The sequence below is a fragment of the Homo sapiens genome, chromosome 2 (assembly GCF_000001405.40).
Source record: "Homo sapiens chromosome 2, GRCh38.p14 Primary Assembly".
In the NCBI taxonomy this organism is placed as follows: Eukaryota; Metazoa; Chordata; class Mammalia; order Primates; family Hominidae; genus Homo; species Homo sapiens.
In genome coordinates, this window is record NC_000002.12 from 1,861,585 (window position 1) to 1,882,812 (window position 21,228).

The following is a 21,228-nucleotide window of genomic DNA, read 5'->3' on the forward strand; positions in this document are numbered from 1 at the left end:
CGCTGTGCTCTGCCTGCAGCCTGTGTAATCCTAGATCTGCCTGCAGCCTGTGTAATCCTGGATCTTCCTACAGCCTGTGTAATCGTGGATCCTCCTACGGCCTGTGTAATCCTGGATCTGCCTGCAGCCTATGTAATCCTGGATCTGTGTGCAGCCTGTGTAATCCTGGATACTCCTCCAGCCTGTGTAATCCTGGATCTGCCTGCAGACTGTGTAATCCTAGATCTGCCTGCAGCCTGTGTAATCCTGGATCCGCCTGCAGCCTGTGTAATCCTAGATCTGCCTGCAGCCTGTGTAATCCTGGATCCTCCTACAGCCTGTGTAATCCTGGATCCTCCTGCAGCCTGTGTAATCCTGGATCTGCCTGCAGCCTGTGTAATCCTGGATCTGCCTGCAGCCTGTGTAATCCTGGAATTCGCTGAGATTTTTCACACTCGGGGGTTACCTGATGTTTTCTCTTTCTTCCTCCCAAATTCTGCCTCGTGCCCCTATCCTCTTGTTTATAAGTATGATTTTAAAACTTTTTTGGGGTTTATTTTCTCCTCTTTCAGCCTCTTATTTTATTAAAAATGGAACATATTCTTCCTTTCTACCACGGAATCTGCCTTTTCCCTGATTTCAAACCTTGTTTCATTTGTCAAATTTACAAATTATTTCACAGACTTAATTTTTCAAGAGGTTTTTAAAAAAAAATCAAAAAATCTTTATTTTGCAGGCAAGGAAACAGATGTAAAGAGTTAAGTACCTTTAAGGTCAAAAAGGAGCAACAAAGCTGAGATTACAGGAACCATCTCTTACCTTCTGGTGCGTTTTGACTGCACTAAACTCTTCTTGCCGGTTCCCTTGTTATCAATAATGCCCACCCCTAAATCTAGAATCTATAATGTGATCTATGGGGTGAGTTCATTTGTTTTTAAAGCTCAAGGGCTCATTCGTTCCTCTTTGTGCTTTTTATTGATCAGTTCACATGGACTTTCCAGGTCATATAAAATTGAGAAGATTGAAGAAGATTCTAGGAAAGAAAATAAAATGTATCTAGACTTCTGTGTCAGGAAGTAGCCATCCATAGCAGTTGCTAAAAATTACACTGTCCTCTGCTTCTCATGTCTTCCCTCTGGTTACAAAGAGGGCCAAAGAGGGCAGAGAGAGAGGTTGGAGCACCTGCTGCAAACGCTGCAGGGATGTGGCCGTCTCATATTCTGGCTCTGGAATCAGTGACGTGTGTTCCCTGGGGAAAGACGAGAATTGGCTGAGTGGACAGGGGAGAGGGAAAATCAAGAAGGAGAGAGGTGAGTAGGGAAGATGGGAGAAGAAGGAGAAAGGAGGAGGAGAGGAGAGGAGGAGCTGCTGCAGGTGCATTACAAATACACCACAGATCCTGGAGACTCTGGTGTCCAACAGGAGGCTCACAACGCTGGAATGATCCAGGAGGCCAGGGATACAGGGCTGGCCCAGATGGACACTGGGAATGGTAGCGTGTCCAGATGTGAGATGCTGGGCACCCCATGGAGATGGTGGTAGCTTTGGGGCTCAATCCCTGCTCTGAACTCTTGGAGAGAAAAACAGGGCCTGCTTCCTTGAGGCTCTCGACTTTCTATTGGGTGCCTTAACCAAAGATCCCTAACTCAGGAGAACTGAGTGTGGAGTGTGCTGTTTTCACGGATCCTGTGGCCTTTGGGACTATAAGCCAAGGTGCTGCCAGCAGGCTTAGTCCACGCTGGCCACCTGCAGGAGAAGCACAGGCCCTTTCCCATCTGGAATCTGTTTCAAGAGTAAGTTAGGGAAAGTAGGCTGGATGAAAAAAATGAAGATGTGCTTACAAGAGCAAAACAACAAGAAAACTGCAATCCACCCAAGGGTGAGAAGACTGAGCTCAGATGTGTTGAGATTCCGACATTCATCCCCACAGACTTCCTTTCACATGACGCCACAGCAGTGTGACAGCCACGCTTGCAGAGTACTGTCCCGCGCCAGCCCGACCCCCGGAAGGATAGAAACGGCATGTCCCACTCCAGGCCCAAACCCCGGAAGGATAGAAATGGCATGTCCCGCTCCAGCCCGACCCCAGGAGGGATAGAAACGGTATGTGCCGATTGTATTCCGACAGTGGTGGCGACAGTGGAAGGACTTGAACCATGTCACTTGAGAAACAAAAAAGGGGGGGGCATTTGGGGATATTTGGGGGGATAGTTAGCTCAGAGAAGAGGAGGGAAACAAATGACTCCTTTAAAATAGATGGGAAGTAGATGTTATAAGGCAGAAAGAAATCTTGTTCTGAACATTCATAAATGTCTTGGGACTCCCTCTCGGGAGGAGCCTCTAACCATGGTTGACGGAGGAAAGAACGGCTGCCTTGGGTGGTGGAGCTCACCCTCAGGAGAGGAGCTCAAGGACCGCTGGGGTCTGCTGAGAAGTGCAGGAGCATCACAAGGTGGCTGGATGGGCGCCTGCCACTGGCCTTCATGCCCCCCAGGGCTGCGGCTGCAGGTTTTCTTCACAGCCTGACATGGCCCAGGTGGATGGTGACAGGCCGGGCTGTGCCTTCCCTCTGGGAAACAAAGATGCCTCTTCAGGGAATTCCAGGAGGCTTCCACGGCTCTTAGGGGACAGGATGCTCAGGGGAGGGCAACTCTAGTGTGAGGGCCATGTGGTTTGAGGTCCTCCCCAACACGCAGAAAGAAAGCCCCCAGCAGACCTGGCAGGTCCGGGGCCTTCTGGAAACCCCTGCCTAGGGGCTGCACCCTCCACGGAGTCTCCACAGCCCTCCCTGCCATGGGTGCATCCAGTCTCCAGCAGGCCCTCCACAGTCTTGCCGCTCCCTCCCTGCCAGCTCCGGCCTTCCCAGCTTCAGCTAGGCATGTGCCGACTTCGTGTCTGCAGCCCTGTCTGTCCTATTGGCTCCCGTTCAACATGGGGCCCCACAGAAAGTTTGCTGGACACTCCCCAGGGGAGAGCTGGCCCTGTCCCCCAGTCGCCGTCCCCAGGCTGAGCTCCCGCTTTGCCTCCTGCGCAGAGCTGTCTCTGTGTTCAGGCATCTCGTTTATTCAGGGTCTGGGAGGGCAGGGCTGAGCCCGGATGGGAGGCACGGGTGCCCCTCCACACATGAAGCTCCCCTCCACAACATCTCTGCCCTCAATGTCTCCCAGAACAGAAGGAGGTGTGGGAGGTTCTTGGCCCCTGCTTGAAGCCTCCTCAGCAGCCACTTCGGGGCAGCCTTCATGCTCTACAGGTTCTGAGGAGCCAGCCACATGCCAGGCTCGCAGAGCTGGTGAAGGATGGTGGCTGCTGCCAGAGGGGTTGGCCTGTTCCAAGTGTCTTTCCTGGCTCTCAGCTGGGAGCTGGGGCTCAGCCTGGCTTAGTTGTGCCCGATTGCTGAGCTTCCACTCTATTTAGGCTCTGGCTTTTCCTGTCATCAGGCTTCTGCCAGAGGATGCTGCTCTATGGGCCCCAGGGTGCTGTCCCCACCAGGTGCTCTTGTGGGGAGGCGGGGGAAGGGCGCCCGTGTGGGTGTCAGCGTGCTAACCCTCCAGGCTACCGCATCTGCCCCGGGTACTGAGTCCCTGGGCGTCTGTGTGGAGAGCTGGGCTGGGGGCTGGTGGACTCAGCGCCTGCTTTGGGGAAGGTGCAGACAAAGGTGGGACCTGCACTGGATGTGAGAGGGGGCTGACGGGGCTGAGGGACACCCCCTCCAGCCCAGCTGCTTGCACACCTGGCCAGCAGCCCTGCTCCTGCGGCCGTGCGGGGTTCCTGTGGGCTTTGAGGCTGAGGCACTCAGGGGTGTGGCCAAAGAGCCCCGGAGTCAGAGAGCCAGACCGGGTTTGGCCTGAGGCTCTGCCATTCCCTTGGTGTGGCGTGTGTTCAGAACAAGTCCCTGAACCTTTCTGAGCCTTAGTTTCTGCATCTGTAAAATAGGAAAAATAATGCCCATCCGCATCGTTAGGATCCTTGTGAGGACTAAAGAACTAAATAAAGTGCAGAGAATTTTAGCTCCCCCTCCTTGTTTTTTTTCTTTTTTTTTTAAGCAGCTAGGCCAGGTTACAGAGGTCCCGGATCTCCTGGAGGCTGGCAGCCTTCTTTTGCGTGGTGGTGCAGGTGATCACATAGGGACTAGTGCACTTTCACAGGTTAGCAAGAAGGCCTGTGAGCTCTGCAGGGGTAAGAAGAGCCAGCACTTAGTACATGCTCAGTACACAAGGCGCGTGGTGGGTTAGACGACCCCATGAGAAGAGCCAGCAGCACTGTGTTTACAACATCTTCCTCCACACGCTGCCTGCTCACTTGCTGTTCCCATCAGTCCCCTGAGCAAGAGGCTACTGCTGCCAACCCTGTTTCAGATGAAATAGGCACAGGCATTCAGGAATTTGCCCATGGCAAGGAGTGGGCTTTGAACCCAAGCTGTCCCACCTCAGAGGCACTGGGTTTAGCCTCCGAGCTACAGTGTCCAAGGGCTGTCTGTGACAGTGCTGCAGCAGGGGCGGACTGAAAGGTGCGAAAGGAAGTTGCCTGCGATGGAGCAGCTCGAAGCATCCAGGAGGCGGCCTGGAGATGCCTTGTGGGAAGAAGTACAGGCCAGATGGAAGCAGGTAGGTCAAGCCGAGGTGGAGACCATGGCCAAGGGGATCTTTTTTATAAAAAAGGAAGATCACTTAAAACAGAGGTCAGAGCTAGGCAGAGTCAGGACCATGGGGTGTTGTGAGTGGACAAAGGATCAAGGCTCCACAGACACCTCTGGCCCCGTCGCCTGCTGCCCACAGCTTCCATAGGTGTGGATCATGATGGCCTTACGAAGATGAGAGAGAGAGAGGCAGTCAGAGAGGTGGGGGAGGAGAGAGAAGGAGGCAGGCAGAGAGAGAGAGTGGGAGAGAGAGAGAGAGGCAGAGAGAGAGAGGGAGGAGAGGTGGGAGGAGAGAGGCAGGCAGAGAGAGAAGGGGAGAGAGAGAGTTGGGAGGAGAGAGAGAGGCAAGGAGAGAGGGAGAGGGAAGGGGAGAGAGAGAGAGGCAGGCAGAGAGAGAGGGAGAGGGAGGGGGAGAGAGAGAGGCAGAGGGAGAGGGAGGGAGAGAGAGAGACAGAGAGAGAGGGAGAGGGAGGGAGAGAGAGAGGCAGAGAGAGAGGGAGAGGGAGGGAGAGAGAGAGGCAGAGAGGGAGGGAGAGAGAGAGGCAGAGAGAGAGGGAGGGGGAGAGAGGCAGAGAGAGAGAGGGAGGGGGAGAGAGAGAGGCAGAGAAGGGGGGAGAGAGAGAGGGAGGGGGAGAGAGAGAGGCCGTCAGAGAGGGAGGGCAGAGAGAGATGGGCAGAGAAAGAGAGAGGGAAAGGGTGAGAGACAGAGGCAGGCAGAGAGTGAGAGGGTGGGGAAAGGCAGGGAGAGAGAAACAGAAAGAGAGAGAGAGGGAGGAGAGAGAGAGAGAGAGAGAGTAAAGCAGGCAGCTAGAGAGGGATGGGGGAGAGAGGGAGAGGGGCAGCCAGGGAGAGAGGGTTGGGGGAGAGAGGGAGGGAGGAAGGGAGAGAGAGAGAAAGAGAGACGGAGGGAGAGAGACAGAGTCTTGCTCACAGCAAGCACAGAGTGCAGCAGTGCCAGGGAAGCAGCTTCAGCCCCAGGAAGTCACTGAGTGGAGAAAAGGGTGTGGGGTGAGGGCGCCTGTCAGGGAGACCTTGGGCGAAGGTGTGGATGAAGGGGGGCCTTGCTGGAAATGAACCGAGGGTCACCCTTGCTGGGAAGTAAACCGAGGGTCGCACACAGGACTCAGGCTATGAGCATCTTTCAGAGGCCCCATTGTCTTGGCTCTCACCCCGGTGCCCCACAGCGCCCTTGCCTCCTGCCTATCCCATGTCTCGTCCCTGGAGGTTGGGTTCAGACGTCTGGCAGGTTTTCCTGCACTACTAATCACCAACTTGAATCCAAAGTCCTCAACTTCAGTCTCAAGGGTGTTCCTTGCCTCTGGCTGGGGAGAGGAAGCTCATCTGTCAGAGGAGGATTAGGAGAAAGTCAAGTCAGTGAATGGCAGATGCCAAGAGTGGTCCTGGCAGCCACGTCCACAGGTTTCTGGGGGTGGGGGACCTCGGGGCGCTCTCTGGCTCTCCTCCAGAGAGGATGGAGGCTGCATATGCCTCTGTCTGCAATTCCCCCTCATGGCAGTCTGGATGCAATGAAAGTTTGCCGATTAGATATAGATATGCTCATTAATGTGAATATGTAGATGAAGGTCATTGTTCACACATTACCTTCATTACATTAGCTATTCTCCATTAATTTGTTTCCCCAAAACTGTTCCAAATAAAAGAACATCTTATGGCGGGAGGGTGGGGCTGCTGACTGTGGCAAATTTCATGTTAGAAATATCTATCTTTATTTAGTAAACCTTCAATGGGAAGCAACTTTGGCTCTATGCTTTTCTTTCTTTTTTTTTTGACAGAGTCCTGCTCTGTCACCAGGCTGGAGTGCAGTGGCGTGATCTTGGCTCACTGCTACCTCCGCCTCCTGGGTTCAGGTGATTCCCCTGCCTCAGCCTCCCAAGTAGCTGGGACTACAGGCGTGCACCACCATGCCCAATTTTTGCATTTTTAGTAAAGATGGGGTTTCACCAGGTTGGCCAGGCTGGTTTTGAACTCCTGACCTCAGGTGATCTGCCCGCCTTGGCCTCCCAAAGTGCTGGGATTACAGGTGTGAGCCACCGCGCCCGGCCTTGGCTCTGATGTTTAAGAAAATCATTTAAAAATGTGTCTGTCTCAGAGTGTATTTTCATAGAACCTGCACTTGCATAATATCAAAAATGTGCTTCTTAGGCAAAGAATCTCCTTTTAAAAATGATCTGTTGTTATGTAAGCTATAAAGAAAGAATAGGAATGATTTTCTAGAAGAGGAAGGAAGGAAGGAAGGAAGAAACCCTTGATAATTGGGAAGGATCTTAGAGGATGAGAGGCTTGCAGTGGTTTTTAATTTTCCTGTCTTATCAGCACTGGCAAGGAGCAGGTCTCCAGAGCCCCCTCTCCCCGGCCCCGAAGGCAGGGCAGGCGTCCCCAGCCAGGGAGGAAGGCTCTTTGAAGGCTTAGGAAGGGAAGGGGGTCCATTCCTCAGGCTGCCTTCTCTGTGCCCCCCTTCTCTGGCACTCGTGGGCCTGCCCTGGGGCTGAGAGGCAGGGGGGATGCAGACGAGCGTTGCTATGGAGACACGGTTGCTAGGCTCCCTCCTCCCCCCTCCTCCCTGCGGTGCAGGCTGGTTCTACCGTGTGCAGGAAACCTGAGAGCCTGGATCAGCTCCTTGACTGCAGCGCTGCCAGGCACCGAGGAGGGAGGGGAGATGCCCTCAGGTGTGGTGGCCATGGGAGTGGGCTCCCGGGAGAGGGGAAGGCCTCTCAGTGACACCAGGTTCAGCTTAACCAGCCCTCAGCAGAGATAAGGATATACAGCCCAGGAACCTTTGGAACACACACCAGCTGTCACTGAGCTTCCGCAGGCCATGGGTGCTAGAGCTTCAGCCAGGACTGCCTCCTGGCATGGCCACCAGGGCATGGTCTGTGCCTCACCGGTCCATGCACAGTCAAAACAGAAACCAGAATCACGTGTTAGCTGCAATCCTCTTTTCCACGTGCCACTGTACCTCCACCAGAGACAAAGCACACAGTCCCGGACTTATCCTCTTTTCCACGTGCCACTGTACCTCCACCAGAGACAAAGCACACAGTCCTGGACCTGGGTTGTGTTGTCCAACTGCCCTGGACATTTCATCTAAGAAAGTGGTTCAGGGACGATGGCGCAGCCGGTTGGGAAGGGCACTGAGTTGGGGGTCTCATGAGACCTGGCACTCCAAGTCCTCCCCAGTAGCCAGCTGCATTCCCTGGAGGCTCCTTGTCCTGTGCACGGTGCCGGTGCACGCATGTGCGTGAGCCTGTGTGTGTGCCTGCATGTGGTCGGTGTAACAGAGATGGGACTCCGTGCCCTACACACTTCACAGGCTCCAAGATGATGAGAACGCCCTGGTTTCGGGGAGAAGCATTTAGTTCTAAGGTGGAAGGAATGGTGATGAGGCAGGCAGGACTTCATGCTGCCGTTTCTCTCTGTTCTGGTCTGTGGTATCTAGTGATTACCTACGGTTTGCCAGACACAGTATCAGGCACTTACAGGCTAACTCATCTAAGTTAGTCCTCATCTTAGACTTGGAAGATGATTATTATCATTATCCCAGTTTCAGAAAGAAGTTGAGGTTTGAAGAAAACCAAGTACTAAGTTCAGGTTTCCCAGCAAGTGGCAAGCCAGGAGCTCCCAAGGCTGTTTGAATCTGGGGCCAGTGTCTGCTCACTATACCACACAGATCTCCAATTTCCATACCAGGAAACAAGCTAGTCACCTAATAAGTGCTTTAAATTCAAACGACATTAAAAATAAACAGCCTTCATCCATTGCATTGAAAAATTGACCATTTGTAAGGTTGATGAGCCATCAGGGTTGTCAGACGATTTTTCAGAGCCGAGAAGTCGAACTCAGAGGGCATTCTTCTCCTCTACCTGTTGCATGATGTCAGTTCTGATGGTGACTCATGAAGATGCTGACTCTAGTAATGAGAATTTCTGCATTGAAACTATTCATTGAAATCATTTCACGGTGCAGAGAAAGCTTGTTGCTTTGGCAGAAATCCAAAGTGCACCCAAGCTGCATGGATTTGGGGAGGAGTCCTCAAGCTCTCTGTCCCATTACGCTGATCTGAAGGCTCAGTCCAGGACTTCTAGCCTGCTTGGTGCTGGGGGATAGGTCTTTCCCTGGCATTCTCCTTCCTCAGCTCCCTCCCTGTTCTGTGTGGCTATGGAAAGGTCATGAATGACTCTGCCCCAGAGAGCAGCAGCCTGGAAACTTCTCAAACACACAGCAGGACAGGATAGGGTTGAGGTGGCCATAGAGGGTCGGTCTGCTGGCACTAGGAGCTTGTGGAAATGGCCCAGTCTTGCCTCAGTGACCAGGGGTCTCTTTTCAGTTGGTGATTTTGGGCCAAAGACCTCATTTGGAAAGAATTTTCCTCTTCTCCTGTAGACAAGACCTGGCCAGGCAAGTCCATCGTGAACTCTGAATCATGCTGTTGTAGGCAGAACTCCAAAAGGGACATTTTACACGATCTGTGTTTTCTCTTTATGTGATTTGTCAGAGCCTATGGCACACTGAAAAATGTTAATCAACATTGTTTGCTACTCCAGTTACGGAAGATTGGGTTGAAATCTTGTCTCTGTGAAAAGCAGCATTACAATTTTAATGGAAGTACAATATTCATTTCTGAAAGTTACTGCTAAAGTGTCCTACGTGTGGAAGCAGGTTGCAGTGTGTGGAGACCCAGCTCTGCGAGCTGCCCACTGGGCATCTGGACCATCCGTTTCTCACTGGTCTTCTGCTTTACCCGCCCTGCCCTAGGCTGGGGCTGTGTGCTGGTGCACGGGATCCACGAACAATTTTAAATGGATCACAAATTCCCCGCAGAGGGAGAGGAAAGGGACAGGAAATGCAGGTGAGACAGAAGAAGCTGAGGAGGGGCAGCTGGGTCTGAGAGTCGGTCTAATCCGTGGCCCTTCCTGGTTTCCAGAGTCTGCTAACACAGAAAGTCATGATTCTGATGGATTGAAAATCAAGTGACTTTACATGTCTAAAGTAAAACCTCTACTCTTAGGCAACTAATTTAACCCTTGAAGTGCTACGGAAATCTCTGTGTGCCAAGATCACGTGTCTCCGTGCGCTGATGGAGGGGACTCTGTGGGAAGATTTGCCTCCAGACCTGGCTGGAAGCCGCCGCTGCTGGAGAATTCCGGGAGGGCCCCTCCTATCTCTGCTCCTCAGTTCCCTGGCCTGGAGAACCGGGATACCAATTCATGCCCTGCAGCCGCAGTCCTCTGCAGAGAGCTGGACACAGCGTGCCCCTGTGGGACCCCACATGAGTCCAGTGAAGCCGGAGGGCAGAGGGTATTGTTGCTTTTTCTAGATAAGAAAACTGAAGCTCAGAAAGTTGAATTGACTTGCAGAAGCCCAGGTGGCTAGAGGGGTGAAGGGTCTGGATCGAGGGTCCCTGTGCCCCTCCCCTCATCTCACAGGGCAGATGCCCGGCCCAGCTGCTCCCCAGGCTCTCAGGCCACCTCAGTCCTCAGCCTCTTCAGGGCCTGGCACAATAAGAATGGCTTAAACAAGTATGTGTTGAAAAAATTCTTGTGTGGGTCAAATGATAACACAACATTCTGAAAGAAGTGAAGAGTTTGCAAGTATAAGATGCCACTAGCATGGATAAGAGAGCTCAGGATTCAAACCAAAATTGTTATCACTGATAGTAAGAGGTGACCATCCAAGCTGAAGCTGCAACAGAGGTCATCGCTGAGACATGAAACTCGGAAGCGCCACATGGATTCTGGAGGAGGCGCATTGTATGAGCTGCATTATTCGTAGAGACAATGGAGCACCTCGCATTGTACTTGATGGGTAACTGATCAAGGTGATGCTGGTGCAGCCGCATGAAGGTGGAGCTAGTGTGTACCTGGGGAAGTGGAAGTCTAATCTTCTGTAAAAGAGGCTGCCCCAAGAAGCCTGGGGACTGGTCTGGCTTGGAATCTACATGAACGGGAAACAGAAGGGAGGAGATTTCTGGATGTCTCCATCATTGTCTCGGAGAGCTATGTTCCGACCCCCAGTCATCCACCAGGGCATGAAAAGTGCCTCCGTTTCCATCACGTTCTCACCCTCACACACATGTCATCCAACGAAAGGTAGAACTGAAGCCAGAATTAAGGCAGTTTGAAAAATAAAGAAATGACAGAGAATAAGACGACCAAAATATGCCAGCTAGGAAAATGGTTTAGAATTTGGAAAGTGGTGAGGACAGGGAGAAGGCAGCGGTGTGGACTAGATCAGCCATGGGCTTGTGGGCTGGTCAACATTTTTATTTGATGATTTTCAGCCTGATCTACAAGTCTGAATATTTTTAAATTGTACCATATTAGAATAAGGCAAAGATATATTCGAAAAATGGAATTCTTTTATCTTTGAAATATTTTGATCTTGGTTGTTGGAATTTCAAGTATAAGAAGTTTTATTTCATTCCTTGCTGGAAGTGGGATAAATTTTAGTTTGTTAATTATCTTTGTCCTCTTTTTTCTGACATGCCCTCCCTCCTCCACAGAGTCTCAAAACTCCAGGCCATTCATGGGCTGGTTCTTACCTGTCTTTTCTGGGATTTAATTCTTTTCTGTAATAAATGCTTATACAGCTTATTTTGGGCACCACCAGGTGCTATTCTAAGCACGTTACAAACATGAGCCCATTTAATTTTATAATCATGACCTCTCAGGTAGGGGCCAGCATGATCCTCACTGTGTAGATGGGGAAAACAGAGGTTAAGCAACTTGCTGAGGATCACACAGCCTGTGGGTGGCCAAGCCAGGGAGTGAAGCCAGCAGTCTGGCTTTGAAGGCTGTGCTCATAATCACTGCCCCAGCTCCTGCCTCCTGCCTTGGCCTTTGCAGAGGGGCCATAGAAATCACAGGTGCTGCTGACGGGTGGAGAGAGGGTCCGCTCTCCAGGGTCATGGCCTCACAGCATGTTTTGAGACCCTCCCAGGTTTTCAAATGTTTCCAGGCCTTTAAGGAAACTTTATCAATGCAATTTAAATATTCAGACTATATTTTAAAATATATACATTTTTACAGAAAATAGTGGATCTCAAATATAATAAAATTAAAAACAAATGTTAAACTATTTTTATTTTACCTAAAATCTTACTCCATTTGATATCCCTGGGAATTAAAAGCTAAAGGCAGACATTTTTCAATGACAAAAACTCTTGTCATGATATGAGAAAAAAATGAGAAATACTTAGAGAGATGCCAGCGCCTCCGAGGCTGTACATGGAGAGGCCACAAGTCACTGCCATGTTATTTGATAGTAAGAGCTGATTGAACCCAAACTCAGTCAGGCACATGGCATTGTAATTGCTACAGATGCCCTCCTGAAATGCCAGCATTAATAAGAATGACTGAGATTTTTGCTTCAATTAAATTCACTGATGATTTGTTCAGCATCTGGCAGGCATCAGGCACCATTCTGGGTGCACAGAAAGCCCCAATCCCAGACTCAGGGTGCTGGCCTGCTGGGGAGCGCTCAGAGAGCTCTGACCCTCACCTGTGAGCTTCAGCTGAAAACATGACAGATTTAACATAAAACAAACAAAGGAATAAGAATAGAAAAACTCGACAAATAGATCTTGACTTCCTGAGAGTAGACAAGTTCTAAAGAGTAGAATACACTCAAAGCTATTTGGCCTGAAAATTCAGCACCTGATGAGTTCTGATGGCTCAGTGTCTTCCATCTAATGACCACCACCCAGATGGAGAGGGGTGGAGAGGGATGGTCAAAGATACCGGACTCTATGAGGGATGGTCAAAGATACTGGATTCTATGGGACAGGGCACGAAGAAAGTGACAGGAAATCTACAGTCGGGGGAAGGACAGGGAGAGGGCAAGGAGAGGGCAGCCAGGACACAGATCCAGGGGTTTGCGTGCCGGCCTGAGATGAATGCCCATGTTCTCAGCAACCCAATATTCTTCTCCTTTCCCTCCACAAACAACCCAGGTGTGGAAAACAGGAAACGCTCTTTTTTTTTTTTCCCCCAAGATGAATTTTAAATGTAGGAGGTGAATATGAGTTTCAAAGGAAAGATACAAGTCATTTCTCCACAAGAAGCCTCAGGTTCCCCATCTGTGAAATGGGCACGGAAGGTCACCTGCTTTGTGAAGACAAGCTAATGTAACAGGGGGAAAAGTGCTGTGTTTTCCTTATTTTATTAAGTGTTTTCACGTTGGTTAAGATTGTCAAACTCTGCTGACTTTCTTTAGCACTGGCCAGACTTATCTCTCAGCTGCACCCTGGGATCCTCTCCCCTGCTGTGGGGAGGGCCGTGGACGGGCCATGTGGGCTCAGGGCATGATGGGGGGCAGCCAGGCGTACCTAATGGGCAATGATGTGGCTTCCACCAACCTGTGGTCCAGCGGCTGGGCCGGATGTCCTTCCTCCATCACCTGCTCCCCCGTCTGAGGCCCTGCTGCAGGTGATGATGTCGGACACAGGGTGGCAGAGCCAGAGGGAGCCACGTCCCTCTGCCCGTGCCGTTTGCCACCTCCATGTGATGCTGCAACCTGATCCCACTTGCAGGCAACTCCAGCAGCCAGTCTTACAGCTGTCCTCATGGAAAGGTGACATGCTGGCCTCAGCCATCCTCCTGCCCCATTTCCACCTAGGGCAACGGGATTTTCAGGCTCGCGTGAACTTCTGACAATCTTGCCAGCCCCTCCCCTCACTAAGGAAGAGCCCGGAGCTTGGACAGGCAGCCTCCTTTCTGAGGTCACCTGGCGGCCCGTCTGCTGGCCCATCCGTGGTCCTCCCTCCAGAGTCCTTGCGTTCCTCACAGAGCTGTTTGGTGCAGATAAGTATATTCTCATTTATTCATTAGCTTTTTTACTTAAAGGCCTGGATTTTAAACAATGGGCAACATGTGCTGAGGGGCGCCATCAGGGAGAGGCTCAAATCTGGAAGCCTGGCGTCCTACCCCAAGGCTTCTATGTTCCGGCGCAGGCGGAAGATACTGACTGAGCATAGAGCTGCCGGGGTGAGTGCGATCGCTGCGGGGAAAGGTCACAGTGACATCCTGAGGCGGGAAACTGGACCTTTAGAGAGTCGCACATTGTGCTGGTGTTGGGCCTGGGTGAACAGCCTGGATTTCAGAAAACAGGGAGGCCAAGGAAGTCCATTTCAAGAGAGTGTGCCTGCCTTGCCAAGGGCCAAGAGGGAAGGGCGTGACGTGGTCCTTGCACCAAGAGACATGCATACATTTTAAATGGTTGCTTTAAGAATACAGAAATATACATTTTCAGATTCCTTACGCTCTCTTCAAGCCTTGTGGTGAAATACTTCGCACATCTCTGAATGTGTCCCATCCTTCCTGTTCAAGGCAAAATCAAAGCAGTTCTCTGAGGAGAAGGCGAGTGCCTCAGTTTCCCTCCCGGCCTCACTGCCGTTCTGTCTCTGTCCCCAAGCACTGGGCCAGGAGGCAACCAGACTTTACTAAGGGTGGATGTCCGGGGATCGATGAGCGGAAGCAGATCGTGTTTGATAATCAGATTATTGCCAGGAAAGAAATCTCCTCTAGAAGACCTTCATTCCGATTCTTTCTTGACCTAGTGATGCCACACCTAAGCCTCGGCCTGCTTTGTTCAAGGGTCCAGTGAGGAAGAATTAACTCGCTGCTCCCTCTCCCACCCCAGGGCTCTGCACTCTTAGTGCAGCTGTGCTGGTGAACTTCTCTACCCTTGAAAGTGGGCCCCTATCTCTCTGTTCATGTGTTACAGGAAAAACGCATTATTTAATCTTATTTAAATAATCCCCAGTAGTTATATCTTAACAAAGATGTACACTTCGGGTTTCTGGAGTACAGTTCTGTCCACGTGCACATCTGCGGTGAGGTTGAGGGCTGCAGTGATATTGAAAGTCTCTTTGGCCGCCTGATTCCCGGGTATTTTCAGTGATGTGCAGGGGAATGCTGTACTCTCAGGTGAGTAGCACATTTGGAGAAGAAATCTTTGTGATGGAATTTCCAAATTTTGTAGTTATTTTAATTCCCAGAAAATCGGATTCTGTGGGCCCCTCTCGCTGGGGGTGGCAACAGACTCAGGGCGTGGGCCTGAGCCCCAGAGTCTGGGAGAGTGAGAAGGGGTGGGTCTTGGCATCCTCGTCTGTCAACACCTACTGCCTGGTGATGCGTCCACGCGTGGCCTTCGTGCCATCCGTGCCCAGGACTCCGAGTCCAGCCTGAGAACAGGCCCCCAGAGCACCCCCACACATGCACGACATCCCTCTCCTCCACTCTCCACACAGCTCCTGCAGGGACCCTGACCCCCCCGTCCATCTGGGGCTCCTGAGCCCGCGCCTACCCCTCACCCCGGCAACCTTTCCCCATGGCCCGTGGCCAGAGTGGACCTCTGGGTGACTCTCCTGGATGCTGTTCGCCCACACTGAGTCCCCGCAGCTGACCCTATGCGTGCCGCCATTGAAACCTCAGCACCTGCTGCCTCCCATCCCAGCCCTGCACCCCACTGCCAGGGCTCCGGACTGGCCTCTAACTGCAAGACATCGGGGAGATTTGAGAAGCAACGTCTCACTCAGGACAGAACTAAAGTCCTGCCAAGACCAGTGACCTCAGGTGATCTGATGCCTATGCAGCTCTGCTGCTCTAGAACTTTCTCCCTGCCCCTCCTCTGCTGGCATCCCGATGTCTTCTAAGCATGCTGGGACTATGTGTCCGCCGTCTCCCCAAATGTCAGACCAGGGGAGGACGCAGACATGGCTTGCTCACCCTGCTGGAGACTCAAGCTGAGTCTCCTTATGACCAGGGTCCCACGGGAGGACCACAGCTCAGAGAACACCACACAGTCAGTCCGTGGTTCTGTAGGATAAATTATAACCCTGCAGCAGAAAAACCCACTCCGCAAAGCCCTTCAGCATCTAAGCTCTGCCTATCATCACCCTAGCTCTGGGGAGACCCCCGTGGTTGCAGCTGCATAGGTGAGGAAGGAGCCCTCATGGAGAACACAGGCTTCAGAATGCCTGGATTCCTGGTGCTGGAGACTTTTATCACTTGTTGGCTATGATGGAAGCTGCAAAAACACATTTTCCCCGAAATATGATGCAGCGATTAAAAATAAGATATATGACTTATATGCTAAGCAGAAAAGCAGGTTTCAATCACATTGTGATTGCACAAAAATGCAAACATATCTGTGAGAGTGGTGAGTTTATACATATTTTTTCTTTTTTCCAAGTCTTTTCTTTCTCAATTTTTTGAGCTTATATTAGGTTTATGTCCAAAAAGTCATTGAAAAACTTCCTTGCTCGACTGATATTTTCTCCCCTTTGCTAAGAGGATGCATTTGTGCCAGAAGCAGGTGCTTTTATATATCAGGTAGATTTTTTATCCTTGTTCAGTAAGAGTGCATGATGAACGCCATCAGCACTTGGCCAAGGGAGAGGGACATGAACGGTGAGAGCTGAGGAATGGGACCTGGCTGCTCGCACGCCTGTGCTGGGACAGGCAGGGGTTCCGGGCGCGGCCATGGCTGTGAGCAGTTCTGCTGAACTCTGCTTGCTCTCAGTTGGCTCTGAGACCAAAAATTGCCTAAAATAGGTCACCTGTTTGTATCCTAAATTGTAGAAAAAAAAAATGCATGATAATGACATCTTCCTAATTCAACATGAAAACTAACTGGGACCAGGGAAGTGCTGGGGTCCCCCTCCGTGGACTAAGCTTTTCTCTGCAGGTAGTGCTAATTAATGCATCAGCAAGCTTGGGAGAGAAATATCGAAGATACAGGTGGAAACAGGCTTCCAAGAACTTGAAGGCCCCAATTATTAGCCATGTATGTGTTAATTACGTCGGGTTTATTTAGTCACTGAAGGAGGTGGCCTGTGGCCCTCTCTTTGATAACACCTGATTAACTAAATGTGAATTTCTGCCCATGCTTGAAAGTAATCAAGTTGCATGGTTTTTCACAATAGTGTAACTGAGTCTTTCCAGTAACTTCTATTGAGTGCTGCCCCAGTGCTCGTCCCAAACAGTGAGGTTTGCACTCATCTCACCGTGCAGCTTGCAGGTATTCCATTCTGAAAATGGTAACACTGACATTTACTTCACATTTAATCTGTCTACAAACTGCATTAAACAAAAAAAGATACCAGTATATTAATAAAAAATTATTAAACTGTTTGTCAGTGGCTTAGTAGTATAAGCCAGATGCTTAAAAAATATAAACTGTTCAGTTTCAGAAATGGAATATTCCTACACGTTTGTTAGAATGTAATTCTAATTAGAATTAAGATAATTTCTCTTGTTCTTTGTGTAGTAAAAACCACACAAAGAACAATATAAAATAAGTGTAAGGTTCTCTTGGGCACTGTCCAGTGTGTACACCTGCTTGGTGTATGTGGGCATTTAAGTTTGAATTAATGAAGATGAAATACGATCAAGAATGCACTTCCTTAGCCACGGCAGCCTCATTCAAGCAGCTTGTGACTTTCATGTGGGACAGCACAGAACAGGCAACTTCATCCCAGAAAGCTCCATCGGGCATTTCAGGCTCTCATTTCCATAACCAAGTCACATTTTATTTTAATTATTAGAAAGCTTTTTCTTAAAAACATCAGGTAAGTGTGGGATGTCCAACCTCTTTACATTCTTATAATATTCTCAATTTCTCTTTGGAGGTAGACGAGATGTCTCCATCTCTCATTCATGAATAGAAACATGTAATCACCTGTAGAACCTAGGGACTTTTAAAATGTCATTAAATGGAATTGACTAGTGTCAGAAACAAACCTCTTTCTGTAAAAATGCAAAAAAACAATACAAGAGAAGAGAAGAGAAGTAATTTCCCTGAGTCACCACCCCTGGAAGGCCACAGATCACATGTAAGAGAGAGCACAGCAATAGGTTGAAATTGCAGACGTGGCTGTGAGCTTTCCTGCTTCCCCGGCCCCTGTGCACCCAACGGCCCTTGAGTTCCTTCAAAGCCTTTCACTCAAGAAAGCGCCTGGGAGAGAACGAGTCTCTCCTGAAATGGCCAGGAAATCCCAAATCCTTGTCAATCATTTCCCAAAGGGAGCATCTACTTTATTTCCAATTTCATTCATTTTGCTCCAGGGAACTATAAATTAGTGAAGTGTTTACTAGATTAAAACCTCAGATGTACAATTAAAGGACAACATAACCTCCTCATTCTGACTAGACTCTCCCATCACAGAGTGCTGGCTTCTCATCCTTCTTGCTGCCCAGAGTCAGATGTGGGGGCCCATGAAGTCCAAGAAAGCTCACTTCTCAGAGCCACTCCAGAGGAGCCCAGAATTCCTCCAAATTAGAAGAGGCCAAATTTAATTAGGTGTGAAATATGAAGAGACCTCAAACAATGTAACATGTCTCATGAAAGGAAATGTGTCCATCTTTGAAACCTAGACCAAAAAATAACAAAAAATGTGTGTGTGCAAAGTAATAATATATATTTATAGTTTAGTAATATATGTGTATATATATTTTAAATAACTTTAAAACTTCAGTACTTACAATTATAAGGACAATAAATTCTTCCTTCTGTTCATGTGTGACAGGAATACTGTATATATTAAAAAGTCATCCGGAAGTTAAAAAATCAATGTATTTAAAAATTTTTGAAATAGGTTGTATAAGATGCATTATTTTACATTTGATTTGATGACATGATTTTTGTTTGAAAGTATGCAATACAATTCAGTAGTTTCTGATGTTTGTATTAAATGTTTCATAATTTTGAAATGAAAGAATGGAATGCTAAGAAACATTTCATTAAAAATCTTCCTCATGATTTTCTTCTGAATTTAAAATGTTCCAAAATTTGTCACAATAAAAACCAAAAACATCACAAAGCCAGCTTCAGTGAACAGTTAGGAATTTACCTTAATTCCCTGGGAGAGTCGAGCTCCCTACCTCTGAGTTCAATCAAGCCACCATCCTTGAAAACTGCCTTTTAGATGGCTTAAGGCAAACAGATCAATTTGGTCAAGAAGCCGGTAAATATGGCAAATTAAAGATAAAATAAAATGTCAGTAGAAGCCACCCTCTCTTCAGCAAACAATATGCTGACGCTGCCAAAGTGTAGGCTGCAAAGGTAAAAACATTCTTGGCCTGAGCAATGAATGAGGTAAGGTAAGATGGAGAAAGCTCTTTTTATTTTTACTTTTCGAGACAGACTCTCACTCTGTCACACAGGCTGGAGTGCAGTGGCGCGATCTCGGCTCACTGCGACCTCTGCCTCCCGGGTTCCAGTGATTCTTGTGCCTCAGCCTCCTGAGTAGCTAGAACACTTTTAAATGAGACTTTATTTTCTTAACTGACTGTAGATGGGGCAGTCAGGTCTACATGCAGCATGTTTCATTTAGTTTTCAGAAGAATGAATAATGAAATATAAATGAAAAATGGAAAAGTTTCATTTTGTGGGGATTTTTGTACACAGTTGTTGTCAGTGGTAACAGGTATTGAATGTCAGGTGTGTGCTTGCTACCAGTACTGTCCCGCTTCACAGGGAAGGAAACTGAGGCACAGGGAGATTGACAGTGATCTCCAATGACTGGAAAACCCATGGTCTGCGTTTTCTTTTGCACAAAGAACCTCTCCATGAAAAGCAGAGCATCTTGGCCACTGGCCTCTGATCCTGCCACCTCTTGCCTCCTTGTATTACCCAAGTCTGAGTTTTTACTCAGTGAATTTTAATATTTTCTTCATCAAAACCAAGACAATGGCGAGGCATAAACAGACGGACCTGCACTGCGTTTCAAATATTGCTGGAGAACTTTAGGAATGTTTCATCAAGCCCTTTAAAAAGCTGAACACTAAAGGTTCTCGATGTGGTGGTTGTTTTGTTTTTGGCTGGCTTGTGCGTCAGTATAGTTAGTTAAAAGAAGTCAGATTCAGCCCAAACCCCAATGCCTGGGTCCCTCCCTTAATAATCCAGGTCTCAGGCTTACTGTGAGAGGAGGAGGAGGCAGGAAGAAAGATTCGCAGCAGGGACCCTCCCCACTTGTAGCCTCTTCCACTGGGCCTAGGGAGGCTCCTGCTGCTGGGCTCGCCCTGACAGTGGACTTGAGAAACAGAAGGAAAGACCGAGGCATTTCTGGCTCATCTTCCCTCAACAAGAAACTCCGTGAACCAAGACCTGGGTGGTTTATTGTTGGTTTGCAGGTTCGTGTGTGTGTGTGTGTGTGTGTGTGTGTGTGTGTGTGTGTGTGTGTCTGAAGTCATTTTGAAACATTCTTGTTTTAGAAGTTTTACTGTATTATGCTTAATTGTATTTCCTATATTTTAATTTCTCCTACTCATTATGATAAAATAAAACTCCAATAGGCTGTATTTTGTAGGATTTTTTTTGTAAATGCCGTAGTGCAAACTTTATAAACCATTTGCAGATGTGAAAATGTAAATGGTAGCACTGGGTCCCTGGAGGAGCAAGTTGAAAATGCATTCAGCTGATTGTGAGGAGTGGGCGTGTCAGCTTTCCACCAGGGATGTGGCACAGTGCTGGGGAGGTGGCCACCACTGGGCGGGTCTCAGCTCAGCTCCCTGTGCGGGTCACAGGGAAACTGCACAAGGCCAAGTGTGGAAATAAAAATAAATTCTCTGTGTGTGTGTGCATGTGTATGGCTGTAGTCATCGCTAAATGTAAACCTTTAATTCTCAATCACAAAGCAGCACACTGAAGGTGGTGTTATTAATGATTGAGGAGCAGGCATGAAGCGTGGGGAAGATTCTGAGCTCGGGCTTTGCCCTGATTTTGAGGAGCAGGCATGAAGCGTGGGAAAGCTTCTGAGACAGGCTTTGTCCTTGCAGTCGATTGTCTCTACATCTCAACTGGGCAGTCCAACCACCTGTTCCTCAGTTCTCACATCCGTAAAATGGGTCTAAGCACCCCTTCCCCGCTTTCCTCACGAAGGTGACAGTCTGTGCAGAAGCATTTTGTCCATTGTCAGGCACCCTACAAGCCTGCAGTATTTCAGCACAAGCGGGTACCACCACAGATCTGGGGAAGGCTCTGGGGCAGGAGCTCAATCCCCGTGCCCTGGGCCGTGCTTGCTGGAGCCCCAGTGGACGCTATGCACGGGAGTGACCCACACCCGAGAAACCCCAGGCCATCACCTCTTCTCCCCCGAGACATTCCCATTCACGCGCATGGCTGATCACGTGCACCCGGGTGCTCTCGGGTGAGCCAAGTCAGCTGCCGAATGGTTCAATTCTTTATAACAGAAACAAGGGTGCTACAGGAGCAAGCTTCGAAGTGGGAGATCACACATTAGCTCTCCTCCCAATGTGGAGGCTGAAATCACACAGCTTTCTGTCCTAAAAGAGCTGAATTTACACAGAGGTCAACTCATTCCCCTGATAAGGAAATACGGCCTCCTGGTAAAGAAACCAGACCCCAGCCGAGGGCAGTTGTAATTCACAGAGTTCTGTGGATTGACTATTGTAAACTGTGAAAGCAAAAGATTACCGAAATGAGGATTATTCCTAAGAACTTGGTGAGCAGTCAAAGCGGATGACCTTCCTGCACCCGAACAATGGAAGCTGTGGGGTGAGCAAAGCTCACATCTCCCTCCAGGAGAGCCTGGTAAATAATCTCCCTGTGCCTGCATTAAGTTTACAGTGGAG

The 21,228-nt window shown here is 49.3% G+C and overlaps 1 protein-coding gene across 29 annotated transcripts in view, besides 2 other annotated features; it reads right to left on the bottom strand.

Annotated features, from left to right (window-relative positions):
• The window catches only part of MYT1L (myelin transcription factor 1 like), a 542,163-nt gene that overhangs the window by 72,472 nt on the left and 448,463 nt on the right, over positions 1-21,228 (bottom strand). The window lies entirely within an intron of this gene.
• Positions 3,641-4,264: an enhancer, noted in NCBI's record as "H3K27ac-H3K4me1 hESC enhancer chr2:1868997-1869620 (GRCh37/hg19 assembly coordinates)". NCBI's record gives its function as "activates a minimal SCP1, AML or CMV promoter by ChIP-STARR-seq in primed H9 embryonic stem cells {active_cell/tissue: H9 hESC(primed)}" and the evidence as "EXISTENCE:reporter gene assay evidence [ECO:0000049][PMID:30033119]".
• Positions 13,085-13,585: an enhancer, noted in NCBI's record as "H3K4me1 hESC enhancer chr2:1878441-1878941 (GRCh37/hg19 assembly coordinates)". NCBI's record gives its function as "activates a minimal SCP1, AML or CMV promoter by ChIP-STARR-seq in naive H9 embryonic stem cells {active_cell/tissue: H9 hESC(naive)}" and the evidence as "EXISTENCE:reporter gene assay evidence [ECO:0000049][PMID:30033119]".